This window comes from Homo sapiens, chromosome 3 (genome assembly GCF_000001405.40).
Source record: "Homo sapiens chromosome 3, GRCh38.p14 Primary Assembly".
In the NCBI taxonomy this organism is placed as follows: domain Eukaryota; kingdom Metazoa; phylum Chordata; class Mammalia; order Primates; family Hominidae; genus Homo; species Homo sapiens.
In genome coordinates this window covers 191,530,801-191,551,221 of record NC_000003.12, presented here as the reverse complement: position 1 = coordinate 191,551,221, position 20,421 = coordinate 191,530,801, and the positions used below count along the sequence as shown (strand labels likewise).

At 37.3% G+C, this 20,421-nt stretch overlaps 1 long non-coding RNA gene across 1 annotated transcript in view; it reads right to left on the bottom strand.

Moving 5' to 3' along the window:
• The window catches only part of PYDC2-AS1 (PYDC2 antisense RNA 1), a 164,833-nt gene that overhangs the window by 39,135 nt on the left and 105,277 nt on the right, over window positions 1-20,421 (bottom strand). The window contains exon 2 of the long non-coding RNA NR_120606.1: window positions 5,111-5,171. This is a non-coding gene — a long non-coding RNA (PYDC2 antisense RNA 1). The remainder of the gene's footprint in view (window positions 1-5,110; window positions 5,172-20,421) is intronic.

Below are 20,421 nucleotides of genomic sequence, written 5' to 3'. Positions count from 1 at the left end.
AAAAAAACAAACAACCCCATCAAAAAGTGGGCAAAGGATATGAACAGACACTTCTCGAAAGAAATCATTTATGCAGCCAACAGACACATGAAAAAATGCTCATCATCACTGGCCATCAGAGAAATGCAAATCAAAACCACAATGAGACACCATCTGACACCAGTTAGAATGGCAATCATTAAAAAGTCAGGAAACAACAGGTGCTGGAGAGGATGTGGAGAAATAGGAACACTTTTACACTGTTGGTGGGACTGTAAACTAGTTCAACCATTGTGGAAGTCAGTGTGGCGATTCCTCAGGGATCTAGAACTAGAAATACCATTTGACCCAGCCATCCCATTACTGGGTATATACCCAAAGGACTATAAATCATGCTGCTATAAAGACACATGCACACATATGTTTATTGTGGCACTATTCACAATAGCAAAGACTTGGAACCAACCCAAATGTCCAACAATGATAGACTGGATTAAGAAAATGTGGCACATATACAGCATGGAATACTATGCAGCCATAAAAAATGATGAGTTCATGTCCTTTGTAGGGACATGGATGAAATTGGAAATCATCATTCTCAGTAAACTATCTCAAGGACAAAAAACCAAACACTGCATGTTCTCACTCATAGATGGGAATTGAACAATGAGAACACATGGACACAGGAAGGGGAACATCACACTCTGGGGACTGTTGTGGGGTGGGGGGAGGGGGGAGGGATAGCATTAGGAGATATACCTAATGCAAAATGACGAGTTAATGGGTGCAGCACACCAGCATGGCACAGTTAATGGATGCAGCGCACCAGCATGGCATATGTTAACCTGCACATTGTGCACAAGTACCCTAAAACTTAAAGTATAATAATAATAATAAAAAGAAAAAAAAGATATTCATCATAATGGTTTAGTCACATTGTGCATAACTTTAAAATAAAATATTTTATAATAACAGTTAAAATAAAATAATTTTAATAGTCTAGTGAAGTTGGTAATCTACAAATGAACATGTAATAGATATGTAACAATATGATAAAAAATAAGTTAATGCAAGGGAATGGAGTGAGCTGTTGTGCTGCTGTAGATTTGTTAGTCAAGAAAAAGAGATCTCCCTGAAGAGGTAACACAGGAATAGGGGAACATCTGGGAGGCAGGCTTTCCTGGCAATGGGAAGGGCACTTTTAGAATGCTGGACCAAAGATTCTCTACAATCTATCTCAACTCAGTTGAATGGCAAAAATTGTCAAGAGTTGGTTGACAATATAGATAGCCTTCTCAACTTGTCAGAATCTCAATGTTCCTGAAAGAAATTCCTTTTTACTAGTTTGTTGTAGTTGTTATTGTTATTGTTTCTGTTAAATTAAAAGTCCCCAATGAGATATTTGTTGAGATCAGTAATTTTATATTGTTTCTACGAGATTTGAAAATAGTACATGCTTCTTTTTCGAAATCTTGTTTACTTAGTCAGTTGGCATCATTTTGAATGAGAACACAGATTAAAGTAAAAGTGTAAATAGAATGACATAACAAAGTATGAAAGAATCAAATGCAATAGGATGAAAAAGTTAGTGTTAGCCCCAAGCACTGATTACTGAAAGCTTTTAATGAGCAAATGTTTAAATGAGAAGTGAAACCAGTGAGTGAAAGTCAGACTATGAGCTATATATCAGAATCAAGCCCCTCTGCCTGCCTCCAGACTCTGGCAAGCCTCATCTGTAACAATTGATTCTAAAGGGGTCAGTGCTGAATAAGGATTTACTGTTTTTGATGATGACTGTGAGGTTAAAGTAATGGAGAAATTGAAAGTCGCTTGCTTAATGGAAAAATATGTAGAATTGCAACTTAAAAAAAAAACTGCCACCAAATTAGGACAAACTGGAATCAAAATCATTTCAGAGATTGATGACATGTCATTACAGGCTTGAAATATACATCCTATTCCTTTAAATTCATATTTTTATCAACCACTTAGGCCAGTGACATAATAAAATCTATTAACCTCAGTTATTTTGTCCTCTAAGTAACACTGGATAGTGCAAGAACAATTTTAAAATTGAATGGATTTCTTTCTGCATTATAAGATATGCTGTTTGACCTTTCATGTTTTTAACAGAAATGCTTAGTTATTCTAAAAGTGGTTTGATACACTATTATGTTGGCCATAAAATATTTCTTTCTGTAATGTCTCTTTTGTCCTTTATTTCATATTAGCATCTATTTTATTCTTTTAGTTCAATGCCTGAGATCATTTCGATGGAGAAAAACTTCTAGACCATTTGTAAATTGAAATATTACACCCAGGACAAATGCATTGATAAGAAAAACATTTAAAAGCTTGAAACATCTTTTTATTGATCTTTCCTAGGCTCCAGATACAGATATAAATAATAAGAGAGATAAGAAGGAAAAGATTTTGAGCCAGAGGGAAAACCTTGCTGAAGGCCCAGTGAGTACAGAGGACAGTGAGAAGAGAGTCCTGGCAGGCACAGCTCAGCTTCAAGGGAAGAGGAAGAGAGTGAGAAGGCGAGAGTGGGCAAGGGGCAGGCAGCAGGGGCTGCTGTCCTTTTGAACACTCTGAGCCTTCTGTATATGTCTTACCAACTTAATAATGTCATGGTCAAATAAATTGATATGGTTTGGCTGTGTCCCCGCCCAAATCATATCTGGAATTGTACCTCCCACAATTCCCACATGTTGTGGGAGAAACCTGGTGGGAGGTGATTGAATCATGGGGGTGGGTCTTTCCCATGCTATTCTTGTGATAGTGAATGAGTCTCATGAGATCTGATGTTTTTAAAAATGAGAGGTTTCCCTGCACAAGCTCTCTCTTTGCCTGCTGCCATCCATGTAAGATATGACTTGCTCCTCCTTGCTTTCCACCATGATTGTGAGGCCTCCTTAGCCATGTGGAACCGTAAGTCCATTAAACCTCTCTTTTTTTTTTTTCAAGTCTCAGGTATGTCTTTATCAGCAGCATGAAAACAGACTAATATAGAAAATTGGTACCAGCAGAGTGGGGTGCTGCTGAGAAGATACCCAAAAATGTGGAAATGACTTTGGAACTGGTTAACAGGCAGAGGGTGGAACAGTTTAGAGGGTTCAGAAGAAAACAGGAAAATGTGGGACAGTTTGGAACTCCTTAGAGACTTGTTGAATGGCTTTGACCAATATGCTGATAATGATATGAACAATAAGGTCCAGGTTGAGGTGGTCTCAGATGGAGATGAGGAACTTGTTGGGAACTGGAGCAAATGTGGCACTTGCTATGTTTTAGCAAAGTGACTGGTGGCATTTTGCCCCTGCCCTAGAGATTTGTGGAACTTTGAACTTGAGAGAGATGATTTAGGGTATCTGGTGGGAGAAATTTCTAATCCGCAAAGCATTCAAGACATGACTTGGATGCTGTTAAAAGCATTCAGTTTTAAAAGGGAAACAACATAAAAGTTTGGAAAATTTGCAGCCTCACAATATGGTAGAAAAGAAAACCCCATTTTCTGAGGAGAAATTCAAGCCACTTTTCTGGCTGCAGAAATTTCCATAAGTAACAAGGAGCTGAATGTTAAACTCCAAACAATGGGGAAAAGGTCTCCAGGGCATGTCAGAGGTTTTCATGGCAGCCCCTCCCACCACAGGCCTAGAGCCTTAGGAATTAAAAATGGTTTTGTGGGCCAGGCCCAGGGTCCCTGTTGTGTGTGCAGTCTAGGGACTTGATGCCCTGCATCCCAGCTGCTCCAGTTGTGACAAAAGGGGGCCAAAGTGCAGTTCAGGCTATGGCTTCAAAGAGCATAAGCCCCAAGCCTTGGCAGCTTCCACGTGGTGTCAAGCCTGCCAGTGCATAGAAGTCAAGAATTGAGGTTTGGCAAACTTCTCCTAGATTTCAGAGGATCTATAGAAATGCCTGGATGTCCAGGCAAGAGTTTGCTACAGGGGTGGGGCTCTCATGGAGAATCTCTGCTAGGCAGTGTGGAGTGGAAATGTGGGATCAGAGCCCCCCACACAGAGTCCCTACTGGGGCACTGTCTAGTGGAACTGTGAGAAGAGGGCCACCGTCTTCCAGACTCCAGAATGGTGGATCCACCAACAGCTTGCACTGTGCGCCTGGAAAAGCCGCAGACACTCAACACCATCTCATGAAAGTGGCTGGGAGGGAAGCTGTACCCTGCAAAGCTACAAGGGTGGAGCTGCCCAAGACCATGGGATCCCACCTCTTGCATCAGTGTGACCTGGATGTGACACATGAAGTCAAAGGAGATCATTCTAGAGCTTTAAGATTTGACTGTCCTGCTGGACTTCAGACTTGCATGGGGCCTGTAGCCCCTTTTTGTGGCCACTATCTCCCATTTGGAATGGCTGTATTTACCCAATGCCTGTACTGCCATTGTATCTAGGAATTAACTAACTTGCTTTTGATTTTATAGGCTCATAGGCAGAAGGGACTCGCCTTATATCAGATGAGACATTGAACTGTGGACTTTTGAGTTAATGCTGAAATGAGTTAAGACTTTGGGGGACTGTTGGGAAGGCAAGAATGGTTTTGAAATTTGAGGACATGAGATTTGGGAGGGGCCAGGGCCAGAATGACACGGTTTGGTTGTCCCCACCCATATCTCATCTTGAATTCTATCTCCCACAATTCCCACATGTCATGGGAGAAACCTAGTGGGAGGTGATTGAATCATGGAAGCGGGTCTTTCCCGTGCTATTCTTGTGATAGTGAATGAGTCTCATGAGATCTGATGTTTTTAAAAATGAGAGTTTTCCCTGCACAAGCTCTCTCTTTGCCTGCTGCCATCCATGTAAGATATGACTTGCTCCTCCTTGCCTTCCGCCATGATTGTGAGGCCATGGCAGAAGGCCATGTGGAACTGTAAGTCCATTAAACCTCTTTTTCTTCCTAGCCTTGGGTATGTCTTTATCAGTAGTGTGAAAACAGACTAATACATAAGTGGATAATGGAAAATATGGTATATGTAAGGTGTCATGTTACTCAGCCTCACAAAAGAAGGAGATTCGGCCATGTGCAACAACATGGATAGACCCTGAGGACATTATGCTACGTAAAATAAGCTAAACTTTAAAACTACAGTAAAATACTGTATGATCTTACCTACATGTGGAATCTGAAATAGTCAAACTCATAGAAGCAGAGACTGGAATAGTGATTGCCAGGGCCTGGGGGAAAGAGAAAAACGGGCAGGCGACAGTTAAAGGGTACAAAGTGTCACTTATGCAAGATACATTCTGAAGATCTATTCTACAGCATAATGCCTATAGCTAATGTTATGTTAATAATATGCTTACAAGTTTCTGAAAAGGTAGATTTTATGTTAAGTGTTCTTAACACACACACACAAACAAATAATAACAGAAAGGGTAACAAGGAACTCTGGGAGATTATGGATATATCTAAGGCCTCAGGATGGTGATGGTTTTATGCATGTACACATATCCCCAAGCTCACTGTGTTGTATACATTAAAGATGTACAGCTTTTTACCTGTCAATCATACCTCAATAAAGTGGGTAAATAAATTATTTTTATTAAAAAATAATGGTCATGGCATTATATTACCTTGAAATATAATTTTAAGTGTTTATTTTATGGGAAAATGAAGAATTTTGCTCTATCACCTCTGTACCTACAATAAAAGTTACTTCTGAAAGCAGGAGATCAAGTTATGGGCCTTGAAAGCTATCAAATGTTATAAGAAGGAGGGAAATCAGTTTCCAACTGGTTCAAGAAACAAATGACAAAGCCCTGAACTAAGGCAAAGATGAAGGAGAAGAAAAAAGTAAGACTGAAAAACCTTGGGTACATGTAGATAAAAGCTTTAGAAAAAGCATCAGAAACTGAAGGTTCTACTAGGAGCAGGAAGGTCACATGTATCATGAGGATGGCCTGGTGAACACATATCTCATCAAAACCTTCAGCTGATGGTTCCATTCAGAGACAGGGCAAAAGAAGTCAGAAGACTAAGCTTTATTTAAAAACTCCCGATTTGTATAATGTTGACATTTTTTAATTCAAATCCATTTAAAATATAAGGTAGCCAAGTTGAAATGGACCTGATGGTCACATCTGACTGTTTTTGACTTCTGAGTTAAAGCCATATGAAAACAACTGAATTGCAAAGCTCTGCATAACTGTGAACTGACGGCTAACATGAGCTGTGCAGGTTAACATAAAGATAACTCAGGAAAATTCTTGAAAAAATTCCAGTATTTGGACTGACTGGCAGATAAAATTGTGTCCAATTAATTGGGTACATTAGATTAAGTCAATTCATAACACTTACTTTGAAGGACTTTTTTATATGTGGAAAGATGTTCATAGTGGTTTTATACATATGAACACATAAATAAATTATATATCGTTATTTATGTGCAAATACAGCCAGCATTAAAGCTCATAATAGAACTAAATCATGTGTATATGTGTGTGTGTATGTGTGTGTATAGTGTATTTGTTATTAGGAGCATTGAATCAAAAGTCAGAATGCCTGTAATGGATTAACAATTACACATTTAACAGCTATGGAATCCAAGTTATTTCACTTTTTAAATCGTGGATGTACTCAATGAGGAGCAATAACCCCTATTACTGCCTAGCAGAATTACTGCAATAAGGATCAAGTTATATTACTGGTTAAAGTGTTTCATCAAATATCATAATGTTTTAAATAAGCCTCAACATTTAGAAAATTCACTCTTTTATTATTCAAATAATTTATTCTTGAAAAAAGTGGAAATATAAGACCTATAATAGCTGGCAAAACTAACCAGCCTTATAGCAACAAACCACGGCAGATAGGACATTGCTATACAACCTAACCTTACCAACTTGTCAATGTGAAAGTTAACCGGCTGTGTTTGTTCACAATATATATCAGTATCATTTGCTTAATGAAAGAAGTAAACTAAAAGAATTCACTGATACGGGCTTGGAACAGTTTCTTTTTAATGTGATTCCGAAAGAACATCCTGCAAATCAGCTATCCTTTATGTGGGATTCTTAAACATAAAATACAGCCTGCAGTGATGCAATATTACATAATTATCCTAGTTGAATAACCTCCTTCTAAAAGCACAGTAAGGAGAAACTCAGCATGAATTTATATGATACTCATTATTCAATGGTGTCAACTCTATGGTCAGCCATCTCCAGAATTTCTCTCTGTCATAACAGAGAGAGAGCTCCGTTAGCCTTGGGCATCATGGGAATTTGTCCCTCCACTTCTCACAGTTCATTGGATGGGACACCATAATAACACTTAAAATTTTATCCACGGCTGTATAACTAATCATTATTGATATAGGATCAGACCTCTGTATTTGCAATTTTCATGCTTTCACAACAACAAGGATTAAAATGGAATTACCAGTTGGGGAATGTCAAGAAAACTGGATATTTAATTCCGTTAAGACTATATCTTTAAACTGTCACGTGAGCTTGGATAATTTAACTCCTCACTTTAGTTTCCTTACCTATAAAATTAGAAAGTTAGACTAGGTGATCTCTAAGTCTCTAACAAATTATAATATCTTACTATTTATGTGGTTTATTAAATAATTCCATTTGGAATTGAAGAACAAAAGCTGACATCAAGTGTGTATCAGAGTTAGGTATATAGTAAACAATGAACAATTATTATTGTTCTACTTTGGCTCATTGTTTTCTTCCAAATATTCTCAAATGATCACTGCTTAAATAATTTTACACCATGTCTTAGGTAAGATGTCATTAAAAGTTTAAATGTACTCAGTCATTTTTCTTGATTGAGAAGGGGAAAAATAGTGCACATATTTTTGTCTTTCATTTAGTCCAGATAGGTTTGTGTATTCATTTCAGGAAAAAAAACAACCTTCAAAACCTGCAATGCATGTGTGAAAGTGTATCTCTTAGAACTACTTAAGGAAGTTTTCAGATGGCAAATATCCTTGCAATGCCCATGTAGAAATGGCTAACCTCTGTAGAACTGGCCTAAGAATATCAAAAACTGCAGAGTCAGGTAATAACTTGTGATGATCAACTGAAGTGATGTGATTTTTTATTTCATGTGGAACTTCTTCATAAACAATGTCTTAGAGGAAGGCATTGCTTAAAAATAACAAACACCCAGCCAGGCACGGTGGCTCACTCCTGTAATCCCAGCACTTTGGGAGGCTGAGGCAGGTGGATCACCTGAGGTCAGGAGTTCAAGACCAGCCTGGCCAAACCGGTGAAACGCCATCTCAACTAAAAATACAAAAAAATTAGCTGGACGTGGTGGCATGCGCCTGTAATCCCAGCCACTTCAGGAGACTGAGGCAGGAGAATCACTTGAACCGGGGAGGCGGAGGTTGCAGTGAGCCGAGATCACATCACTGCACTCCAGCCTGGGCAACAAGAGTGAAAAAACGTCTCAAACAAAACAAAACAAAACAAAAACACCTTATTTGTATATATTTCACCTTATATGTATATATTTAACCATGTATATATTTCCATAAGGAGGAGAATAGACAGCTTGTCAAACAACTTCATAATACATTATTATTCTATAAAACTAAAATTTATAGCCACGTTGTTCTACATCCTTCAAAAATAGTTAAGAAATTAAGTTTAAAATCCTACTTATGTGATGGTTAAGATTGTGTATCGGCTACAATTATTGATTGAATATATTTTACCTTTTTAAAAAAGTCTGGTGGTTGGAGGAGTATGAAATGTAAGACAGGTCCTGTCCCCTTCACGTGCCTGGGAAGACACAGCATTGCACATGCAAGTGTACTCACATATACATTTACACACACACACACACACACACACAGTCAGAGAACTACAAAGTGCTCAACTGTATGAAATGATCCATGCAGTAAGAAGTTAGAAAAGGAAAATACTGAAAGATAGTCACCAAGGAAATCTCCTAAAAAACTGGTAGGACTTGAACTAGAGCATGAAAGATGGCTAGGATTTGGAAAGGCAGAAAAGAGAGTGGAAGGAAATTCTCAGGAAATACAAGAAGGCTATGCCTTGACCACCTGGGGACCAGCCTTCACAAGGAGTTAGGCAGGAGAGGAACCATCAGAAAAATCGTTTCTAAAGTTTTAAAGATAAAATATAGTAATGCCATGAAAGATGAACTAACTCCGAAAAACAGGTAGGGGCCAGGAGAGCAGTTAGGAGGCTCTTAAAAAAATTGCACTGCAAAGTGAAGAGGGTCCAAAATGAGACTAGAGAAAATTGGCAAAACATAGCATTTAAGTGCAGAAGTGCTACATGGAGTAAAGTAGCAGTTTACGTACAAAGGTACATACCTATATTCCAAGGCATGTGCCTCATGACTGAGGGAAAAGAAGCATTATAAAGAGAAATAAAGTCTTCAGGAAAAAGAACCAAATTGGGATAGATGTTGAGATAGAAGAAATGAAGGAATTATAAGCTAAAAGTTTGAATCTTAATGTAGCAAATATAGAAATGGGGTATAGAATTAAATTTGGATATGATGAATGTATTTGGAAACTATCAATGTGGAACCATGAAAGTAGATATAGTCTATCTGAAAATAAATATAATGGTGGTTTGTAATACTTTTAAAGTTGCAGACATTTGGAGAATACAATGAAAATTATAAATTTTCTCCCAAAGTAAAATAAATGTTTATACTGACATTTACATAATTTTGTACATATTTTCAGAAAGTATGTGGGCCCCATTTACCTTATCTAAATCCCAGGATGGCAAGGCTTATTTTGAATAACCAAAAGCATGAGGAAATGACAGTTGAAAAAAAGATAATATCTACTATGTATTTGGTGTTTATTATATGTCAGAATTGTTTTAATATCTTACACATGCCATTTTTATATTTATTTTGATCTGCATAATAATCAATGAGGTAGGAATTCTTTTCTTCTTTTGCAGAAAAAATTCACAAATAGCAGAAAGAAAATAAGTGAATTGATTGTTCCTATATCTTGCCTTTAAACATGTTCGGCCTTGTTAGAAATTATTATGATATTCCTTAAAATGGTAAGAAAGATTTTATTCAAGACTATTGCAATAGAGAAGAGACTATTGAAACACAGCAAAGAGAAGACACTATTGAAACACAGCAAAGAGATTGAACTCAGCTCCAAATACAGTAAACACCACTGGAGATATAGAGCCAACAAGCATAATGAAAAGTCAAGGATAAAAAATTACTAAGAAAAACTTGATCAAATATCAAGGGCAGGGGGGGATTCTTGTTAAGGCAGGACAATGTAATCAAATATCTAGAGTGGGAGGATTCTTAATAACAAGACTCTGCTAAAACTGGGTACAGAAGGTCAACAGCGGGTCCCAAATATGAGGCATAGTCAAAAAGAGATGGCTCAGAGAAGCTTGACTAAAGTTTGGAGGGAGACTTTGTTACCCTCTTTACTTTGCATTCATCTATTAAAAATATTTATTGAGTTCTAATTATATGACAAGCACTGTGTTCAGTGTCCTGAGATCAATTATACAGGTCTGTCCCTGTACTTTTGGAGTTTGGATAATTGCTACTCCTTCTTTATGTTTCAGCTCAGAGATCCACTCCCTTGTAAAGACCTCCCTGAGTTCACTTCATCTTGAGCTACGTCTGCCATCATAGGCTTACCTCTATAGGCTGTAACTTCCTATTTACTTGTCTATGTAACCTTTTATACTACAAGTTCTATGAGATTATGGGCTATGACATCCTTGTTCACTCATCCCCAGTAAACTAGCACTAACACTGCCCAAGTAGTAACTCAGTAAATATTTGACAAAATTTCTAGAATAGAGATAATAAAAGAAGCCAACAAGTGATGCCAAATGCTAGTCAAGAAAGAAGCCAAGGATGCATCATTTCTTAGATACAAGGAATTTAGAAAAAGCCAAATGAGTAAGGAATTGAAAAGATGCTATCAAAAGGAGGACTCTAAGAGCCTTTTGAGCTACCCAAGATTTAATGTTCTCAGTGGGCCAAACAGCAAACAGTATGAGATTTCAGCTACAATTCATTAGAGCACAGAATATGGACTTGATCCTGTGGCAAATGACTCTTGACCCTGGAAGAAACTACAATACTTCTAGCTGATAGAAGCTCCCACAGGTCAGTTTAAGTCATGGTTTAGTACATTTCTTTCTGTGGACCTCATTTTTCCAATTAGCGAAATGTGGGCCTGGGGGTCGGGGGGCAAAGAGTGGGATGCCTCAATACACAGGGCAATACATATGAATGATAATTCTAAGAGGCTGTGACTCCATGGCCTACAAGTGTGTTTTTGAGACAGTAGATGGTTATCAAAGAAGTTCATTAAAGAGATGATGACATATGGGTCATGGTAAATAGGCCGTCTAATTAATGGTATATCATATTTCTCTTTGTTCAGTCAATTCCAGGCACAACTATTATTTCTTATTTTTAACTGAATATCAAATTATAAAAGAGCTTTGAATCAGACAGTAAGAATAGTTTTTTTTTTTTTTACTGAACAGCAGTGGACCCTGAAGATCAGAGTGGACTATGAAGATGAACTGCCTGGACTTCAGTCTGAGCTCTGTCATCTGTTAATTAAGTGGCTATAGGCAAGTACTTAAACTTTCTATACTCCAATTTCCTCATGAGATAAATGGGAATGACAATATCCTTCTCATGCAGTTTTTATAAATATCACAAACACATTCCTGTGAAGGGCGAGTGTTACCTGGGACATAATAAAATTTCCACAATTGCAGGCCGGGCGCAGTGGCTCACGCCTATAATTCCAGCACTTTGGGAGGCCAAGGCAGGTGGATCATGAGGTCAGGAGTTTGAGATCAGCCTGGCCGATATGATGAAACCTCATGTCTACTTAAAAAAATACAGAAATTAGCCAGGCATGGTGGCATGTGCCTGTAGTCCCAGCTACTCGGGAGGCTGAGGCAGGAGAATTGCTGGGACCTGGGGAAAAAAAAAAAAAAAAAGCTCCACAATTGGTTGACATTACTAAAGATGAAGAAAACCAAAATGGTTGCATAATAAGTGTCACACACAATGTCAGGCCTTTTTACATAAATTATATTGTCCGATTCCAGCTATTACAAAAATTATAGATCAGAAGTCTAACATTCAAGCCTTTTCTCATATCTCTACGTCTGAGTATATCAATGAATCAAGTCATCTGAATATGTGAGACTGTACTTGGTATCACCCCAATTCTGGGTATCATATGAATCTTATGATTAGTACTATGAGAAAAAGACCAGGTTAAAAACAAAAGAAATTCAGAAGTCTGTTCATCACGAATCTGTATGGTGTTTGCCATGTTTTGTTTTATCTCTAAATTCAATACCATGGGTGACTTTTTTATACCTAATTAACCTAGTTGAAATGACAACTCAGTACACAATCATATTATGAAGATCAAGAACATGCTTTTATTCCACTTAGTATCTCTGAGAGACCAGAATGATATCTCAATGTTAAACAGTTTTAATGTTTGCTATTAATAATTCTGATTCCCGATGGATTTCCTATTTAGTCTAAGTTCATAAACAACTAAAGACTTCTATTTCTAACCTATCTATTCAGCACAAATAGCACAAATTTAATCTTGTTAACCCATGTCTGCATAATGACTTTCACTTTTTACTAATAATGACACAATGATAATTTATACCCCTACAAATGAAACCATCTTGAGTGGTATAAAAAATAAAGTAAGGCTGGATCAGGATGGAAATCTTTTTCAACTTTTCTCCCATCTCTGGTTTCCTCCCAAATGATCATTTCATGTTAAGGATTGTTCATCAAATCTCAAACAAACAGAGTTCTAAGTACCAGTATCAAGCACCTGCACACTTGAGAGCAATGATTACAGGGGGAAAAAGAGGATTGAACACCATCAGTGTTATTTATCATCACTCCTAAGGTACTGAATATAATGTTGCTTTAATTGTTGACATTTGTATTGCACATTTAAGCTTACAACAAAATAATGATATATATTATGTCCTTACACAACCCTGTACATAGTTGCCATTTTTCCCCATTTGATATGCCATGAAACTGAGATGCACAAAAGTGTGTCAATAATAGAATGAGGGCCAAATCTTCTGAGTTCCCTCCCATCTCACCACTATCCCCGCTGCCGGATCATGTTCTCCTAATTCAAATACCACTTTCTTTTCACTAGTCTACAGTGATTTTATAGTTATTTTCTGGGTTTCTAGGGAGAATATCTGTAGCTGCATATTCACCATGCAGACCTGTAAGGGATTGCTGAACTCAAGTGCACTGACTTTCAACAAAATAACAGGATCCTCTCTTCACAAGTATTTATTTTTGAACACCATTTATTTCAGAAAAAAAATTTACTTTATTTCTTCACTTCTAAACCAAAGGCACTAAACAGCTGCCCTTGTTCGCACTGATACTGCAGGATTTGTATCCTGATGAGCTACATACAGGTTGTTAAATTTCAGTAATTTGACAATGGAATAGGATGTGCACCTGGCTCTCAAACAGCTTTAAAGGCTTAGACTTCCTCTGAAATGATCTCTTCAGCCAGGACAGAAGAATTTTTTTAAAAAATCTGAAATCGCTCCAGGTAAGTAATTCTAAACTCTGCTGCACATTAGAATCATCTGGGGAGTTTTTGAAACATGCCTGCACCCAGGTTCCTCCCCTAGAGAGTCTTATTTAATTGATCTGCCATGCTGTCTGAGCAGTTGTATTTTTAAAACTTCCCTGAGTGATTCTAATGTGCATTCAGGGTTGAGAAACACCAACTGAAGACATAACCCAGAGCAGTGCTCTCAGCACTGGCCATGCATTGGAATGTTGCGGGGAGAGGGGGGCAGCTTTTTAAAATACTGATACCAATACCCAATTAAATCAGAATCTAAATAGGCTCCAGGCGCTGGTGACTTTTAAAGCTCTGTGATTCTGACATGCAGTCAAGTTTGGAAATCATTTATCTAAAAATAATTACAATTTAGTATGTGGTCTACAAATGAGCAAAACCAATCAATCAAGCAAACAACAACAAAAAACAACTAGAATCTGAAAACTTGCTAGAATTGAAGAGTTTCAGACTCCACTCCAGAGGTACTGAGTCAGAATCTGCCTTTGACCAAGGATTCCAGGTACTGAGCATGCACAATAAAGTATGAGAAGCTCTGTTCTGGACTGCTTTTCTAAAGACCTGAGAACAGTATTAACTTCCATTTCTTCTTCTCATTTGATACTTCTCTCAAGTTCAGATGAGTATGTTCTACTGATTGGGACCATTGGGATAAATTGCTACCATGTGTTCCTAATTGCTACACAGCACAAACATGATTAATTATAGCTAATTACCACTAATTAGCTATCTACTAAGCTAACTGCTGAGCCTGGAATTCAAGACCCTTCAGAATCTAAACAGATTTCTTTCTTGCCTTTTCCCATTTATTCCCACCCTACACTCTACCCAAATATAGACTGCTCTGTTCCACATATGATCCACACCTTCTAGCCTCTTTACCTATATATCCATCTCTCCCTAAAATGCTTTCCTTCCGTGTTCAAGTGTATCAGCTAAAGTTCAGTTAATGCTATTGTACTGTGACGATTTCTAATTCAACCCCATATCCAGCTGGTAATAATTTGTCCTAGCACAGAATACTCAGAGCCTCCTATCTATACCTCTCCTGTGGCCCACTAAACAACCTTCTTCATGTTTTCTAGACTTATTTTATATCCTCGATCAGATGGTAAGTTATGTTAGAAGAGGATTCATGCTGATACAGTTTGGAGGTGTGTCCCCACCCAAATCTCATATTGAAATCTAATCCCCAGTGTTGGAGGTGGGGCTTCGTGGGAGGTGATTGGATCATGGGTGTGGATTTCCCATGAATGGTTTAGCACCATCCTCCTTGGAACTGTCCTCACGTGAATGAGTGAGTTCTCTTGACAGCTGGTCATTTAAAAGTGTGTAGCATCTCCCCTCTCTCTCTCTTGCTCCTGCTCTGGCCAGGTGACATGTCTGTCCCCCACTTCACCTTCGATGATGATTGTCAGTTTTCTGAGGCCTTCACAGAAGCTGAGCAGATGCCCCACCATGATTCCTGTACAGCCTGCAGATTGGTGAGCCAATTAAGCCTCTTTACTCTGTAAATTACCCAGTCTCAGGTATTTCTTAATAACAATGCAAGAATGGACTAATATACATGGGCAATTCACTTCTGTACTATTCACACAACCCTTCTCGGAGCTGTGTGTATAGGATGTAATTTTTTTTGTCTTTCTTCTCACAATTTCTTATGCTTAACCAGTTCAAGTCAGTATTCTTAGTATAGTCAGTATGTTTATACTGTCCGCTCTGAATAGATTTAGATCAGATTTTCACAAACAGTAGTCTTTGCAGAATGTGAATTATGAATCTCTAAAGAAGATATTGTATGGAGAAGTTTGGAAACTTTCTATGTCCAAGAAGCTTTTTTAATGAGCTTCTTACAGGTATCATTTTCTCTGCATGTCACACTTTAGGATATTTTTAATAATAGGGAGTGATAAGTCATCCAAGATAAATTTAGGACGATTCAGGCTTTCAATGGCTACCTAGATAAATCATCAACATTTCTTCCTTTTCAATGGGAACACAAGAATCCTATGCAAAAGAGACAGAACACCACAATGGTATTCTCAGGCTGGATAGGTGAAAATCTAGAACCAAACATCATCATAAAAAGAAAACAACAACAACAAAAAAAAAACACCGTGCTGTTATTGCTAAGGAAACTCCTGTTTTATAGGTTGACTAACTAGGGATCTTTAATATACTATCAGTTATGTCTGAGAAATAAGGAAGCACCTATTAAGTTTAAACTATTCTAGGAAAACTTGCATTCGTGATGGTCTTGGATGTAATGTATTCTATTATTCTTCCTTGAAAAATATGAAATAAAATGGGGTGAGCAAGTAGAAAAGTACTTTTATTGTCTCCTAAAGTCTTAGAAGCATTTATAATTTTGAGAAACAACAAAGAAATCCACAGAATCCACTGTAACAGATGGTTCTAATTAGCATGTTAGAATTCATTGAAAACTATGTCAAAGTTGATTGGCTATTTGTGAAAATATTTCTGACCAATTGTTCTTAAACTATTTCCATAAATATATTGGGACATTTTATATCACTTTATTAATATTGAGAGATCCAAAAGAATAAGACATGGTCATGTAGACACTATTTTCTTATTATATCCCAGCAATGTCAGTTTTCTGTCAAAGTCAATGATAAAGCATCCCTCTGTTTCCTACTGGATGACTTTAGAATGGAATGGAGGAGAAAAGTAATCTTTATAGCTAAAGACTTAAAAGAAGATGGCAGGTATATTTATTTCACGCATTTGTGACATGTATTTATCTCTGTTGACTCCATAATTCCAATCTCTATGACTACATCCTTCATTTTCTGCTTCCTACCAAAGGACAAAAATATATTTCTAGAGTATTTCTTATTGATGGTTCCAGAAATATATGAACTAGAATTTTAGGATCCTTGGTACAGAAAAGTTTCATGACTTACTTTATGTTTTTTCAAATGTTGTTTAAATATTGGTTACAGTGTTTGAACAATCTCACCTTTAACACAACTTTCCCCAGCCAGAAGTTTTATTTTTAAATTGTTTTAAATTTGCATAAATGTCTTTGCCAATTAAATTGTCAGATAATTTGACAACATTTTTGCTATCATTTAGACCCGTGATTTCTCAGTGTAGCTATATGCTGAAATTACCTGGACACTTATAAAAATAGTGATGCCTGGGGCCCACTTTCAGAGATGCATATGTCATTCATCTTGTATGTGGCCTGGGGATCAGCATTTTTTAAATATTTCTACATAATTCTAAGATGCAGACAAGGTTGGAAAACAAAAATTTTGACCAAACTTTTCAACGATGGGTTTTAATAACAGTTTTAAACTTAGATGTACTACTGGCATGAATCCTAGTCTGCACTTTTCCATTTTATTTCAGATTTTTCTTGTTGGAAACTCTCCAAGTTCATGAAATCCTTCTGAAAATGAGACTTTAAATCTGGACACAGATGACCTATTTAATGAGGCATTGATAAATAATAGTAAGTGACATGCAAAAGCCCCTTCCAGGAAGAGAAGGAAACAGAAATGCCCAGTTACCACCATCCAGAGATACTAGTCCCATTACCTCTCATAGCCATCTAAAATGTTGACCATTTGTTCCCATCCACTATGAATATAGCTACACTTTTCCTTCATTATTTTTAGACACTCCAACTCTTCTTATACTAAGATTGAATACACATTTTCTACTTTCTTGCTTTTTGTATTTCTATGGAAGTCATAAAAAAAGATTTTGGATAGCTAAGTGATAGCTATCTAAAGGCATGAATTTGCAAATCAAATTATAAAACCTGTTTAGAAGTCTAATGCATAAAAACTAATATATAAAAATGTAAATTAAGGCAAAAATCAATTAGCTCAATGTGACATTCATGTGGCTTCTCTTTCTGGACTCCATGTTCTCTCCAGGGAAACATTGACTATATTATATGCAATAAGGAAAATAGCCAAGGTGGATGGCCCCATAACACATAGTTACAGCTGCCAGAAAATAACTCTCAATTGTTGAAAAACAGCTCAAAAGGTGAAAAAAAAATTTATCTTGGATAGGCTCAATACCAAAAAGGGGACATAATTATGAACTATAGTATTTACTGGTACCTAGATATATTCTCCACTCACATGCTTAATTATTCCCTCTTTCAAACTGTAGAGATGCTCTTTTGAACTGTCCTCAGCCTACTTGTCATGCCCAAGCCCAAGGTCTTTTGGTGGGTAACAGTAGTTGCTAAAGAAGTTAGAGTTTGGTTAGCTCTCATCAACAACCTTGTTACCAAGTTATAAAGAGAGCAAATCTCAGACAAATTTGCCTACACAGTGACATTTATTAATTAAACATTTATTAGCAAGTTAGCACAATATAAATTATGCAATCTGTATTAGGGCTTAAAAAAATACAGCCTTCTCATTCTTTCAGTGATTAAAATGCTATAGTACAAGAAAAATTCACTGGATAGAGCCATATCAAGATTCCAGTAGCAGGATTCTGTTGCCCTTAGAGTTGTTACCCCTACAGTTTTCACTGGGCTTGCAGAAATCAGAGTTTCCAGCTAACTACTAGATCTTTGGGGGTTTCTTTGGTTAAGAATGGTGGCCTTGGGCCGGGCGCAGTGGCTCACGCCTGTAATTGCAGCACTTTGGGAGGCCAAGGCGGGTTGATCGCCTGAGCTCAGGGGTTTGAGACCAGCCTGACCAACAGGCAGTGGTACCCTGTCTCTACTAAAATTACAAAAATTAGCTGGGTGTGGTGGTGGGTGCCTGTAATCCCAGCTACTTGGGAGGCTGAGGCAGGAGAATTGCTTGAACCCAGGAGGTGGAGGTTGCACTGAGCCGATATTGTGCCATTGCACTCCAGCCCGGGCAACAACAGAGACTCCGACTCAAAAAAAAAAAAAAAATAGTGGTCCTGCTAGATTCTTAGATACTGTTCATGCGTGGGTCTGAAGTGTCTCTTAAGTATACCTGACAATCAATTTCTTTTAGAACACTATAATTTTACCAATATAGGACTCCTTCTAACATTCATCTACTAATCATGTTAACTAAGAGTACACCAAATTCACCAGGAAAACCCATTTCTGGCATTCAGCATGAAAACTAGCAAAACTTTGGTTGTAGCCCAAGGTCTACATAGCTGCCTATGGAGGAGAGGCTTACTGATGAGAATGATTGCTGTCCCTTGTGTGTCCTTGATTAGGATTCGAGATGTAAGTGGGGACTGCTTAATTACAAAAATATTTATTTGCTGTTTATATATCTATATAAACAAATTAATACATATTATCTCTATATAATCATATTGTCTTTAAATGGCTACTCATTATAACAAAGCTGCTCTGACTCTGTTCTGGAAGTTGTTTCCTCATTATTTTTTACATGTCTGCTTCCCTTATAGAATGAAAAACTCCTTGAATTCAGAAATTTGTTGTATATTTGTCACCTCCACCTCCACATTTTTAGCATGATACTTCACACAAAATATGTTTAATAAGTATTTTGAATAAACTATTTTCTGTAAATTTGAATTCTTGTTCTATGTTTAACATTTTTCCTCTCAACACATCATATTCTTTGAAATTATATCTTGAGATTTGTATCTGAAACAAAGGGTATCTAGGGAGAATTGCTTATTTTGTTTGAAAAAGAAAGGAATCTAGGCAAAAATAGCTGTGTGGCCATTAGACTTCAGAAATTAAATTATCACTCTTTGTCATTTTTAGGGGGGAAAAAAAAAAGAACTGCAAATGGCCTCACATGACTCAACAACTCAGGAGAGAACACATTTTCCAAACCAAGCCCATACAGTTGTCATCACTAATAAACAGCCCCACAGTAATCTCGAATTCCAGCATTAATTTTGTGAGAGAGAAGATAAATTGCAAAGGTGCAATCTTCATTACTCATCGTCCTTGCTGGGGTTTCCATCTTTTTTGCTCCAGTTTCTTCCTCACAGGCACGCTGGAAGATAGATGTTGAACAGTTTGCCAGATTCATTTTGAGAAATCACGGATTGGGAGATTAAAACTGACATTTATCTTTGCTTCTATAATGGCTGAATTTTGAGATACCTAAGCATTAAAATACTTTAAGAGTGAGTAACTCTTAAAAGCTCCTGACAATTCGTGAGGCTAATTCTATCTCCCATGGTTTTACCCATAATCTGAACTTGGCAGATTTTTCTCTCAGCAGAGAGCCTGTTCCCCACAAACAATATAGATGGCTACAATGAGTAGATGATTAAATTCCTCTCCATGATCATCAGAGCTTATCTGTGGGCCAGGATTATTACACCAGAGAATGAAGACCCTTGTTCTTAATGCTGCAGCTACTGCAGTCTCCAGATGCACTCACTGCATCTAAGAAATTGGAGCCATTTTTTTCAGAGCTGAATTTCAAAGTCACCTTCTCAGGAGATGTACATTGTTTAGTTGTCCCCAAAGAAGAATACACCTAAAACAGTAAGAAATATCATTTTCTGGCTCAGTTCTTGTATTGTTCTATCTTTCCAAGCATCTTGCAATTAGTTACCAGGTGTGTCCTTGAAGGTAGAATGAGGCCGAGTTTCCATTGTGACTAAGTAAATAGACATCTTCAACGCTAAAGAAGTTAACAAATTTTGCTAAAATTCTGAATTTTTCTGAAATTTCTTTATTATTGCTCTGAACTAAATAGAAATACTACTGCTCAGTTATATAGAGGGAACAATACATATGCCTGGATGTGAGTCTCTGGTGAATTATCTCATTGTCTGATTTACCTTCCATGACACTCTTCCATCTGTTGACTTAAATACTGTAAAAAAAAAAA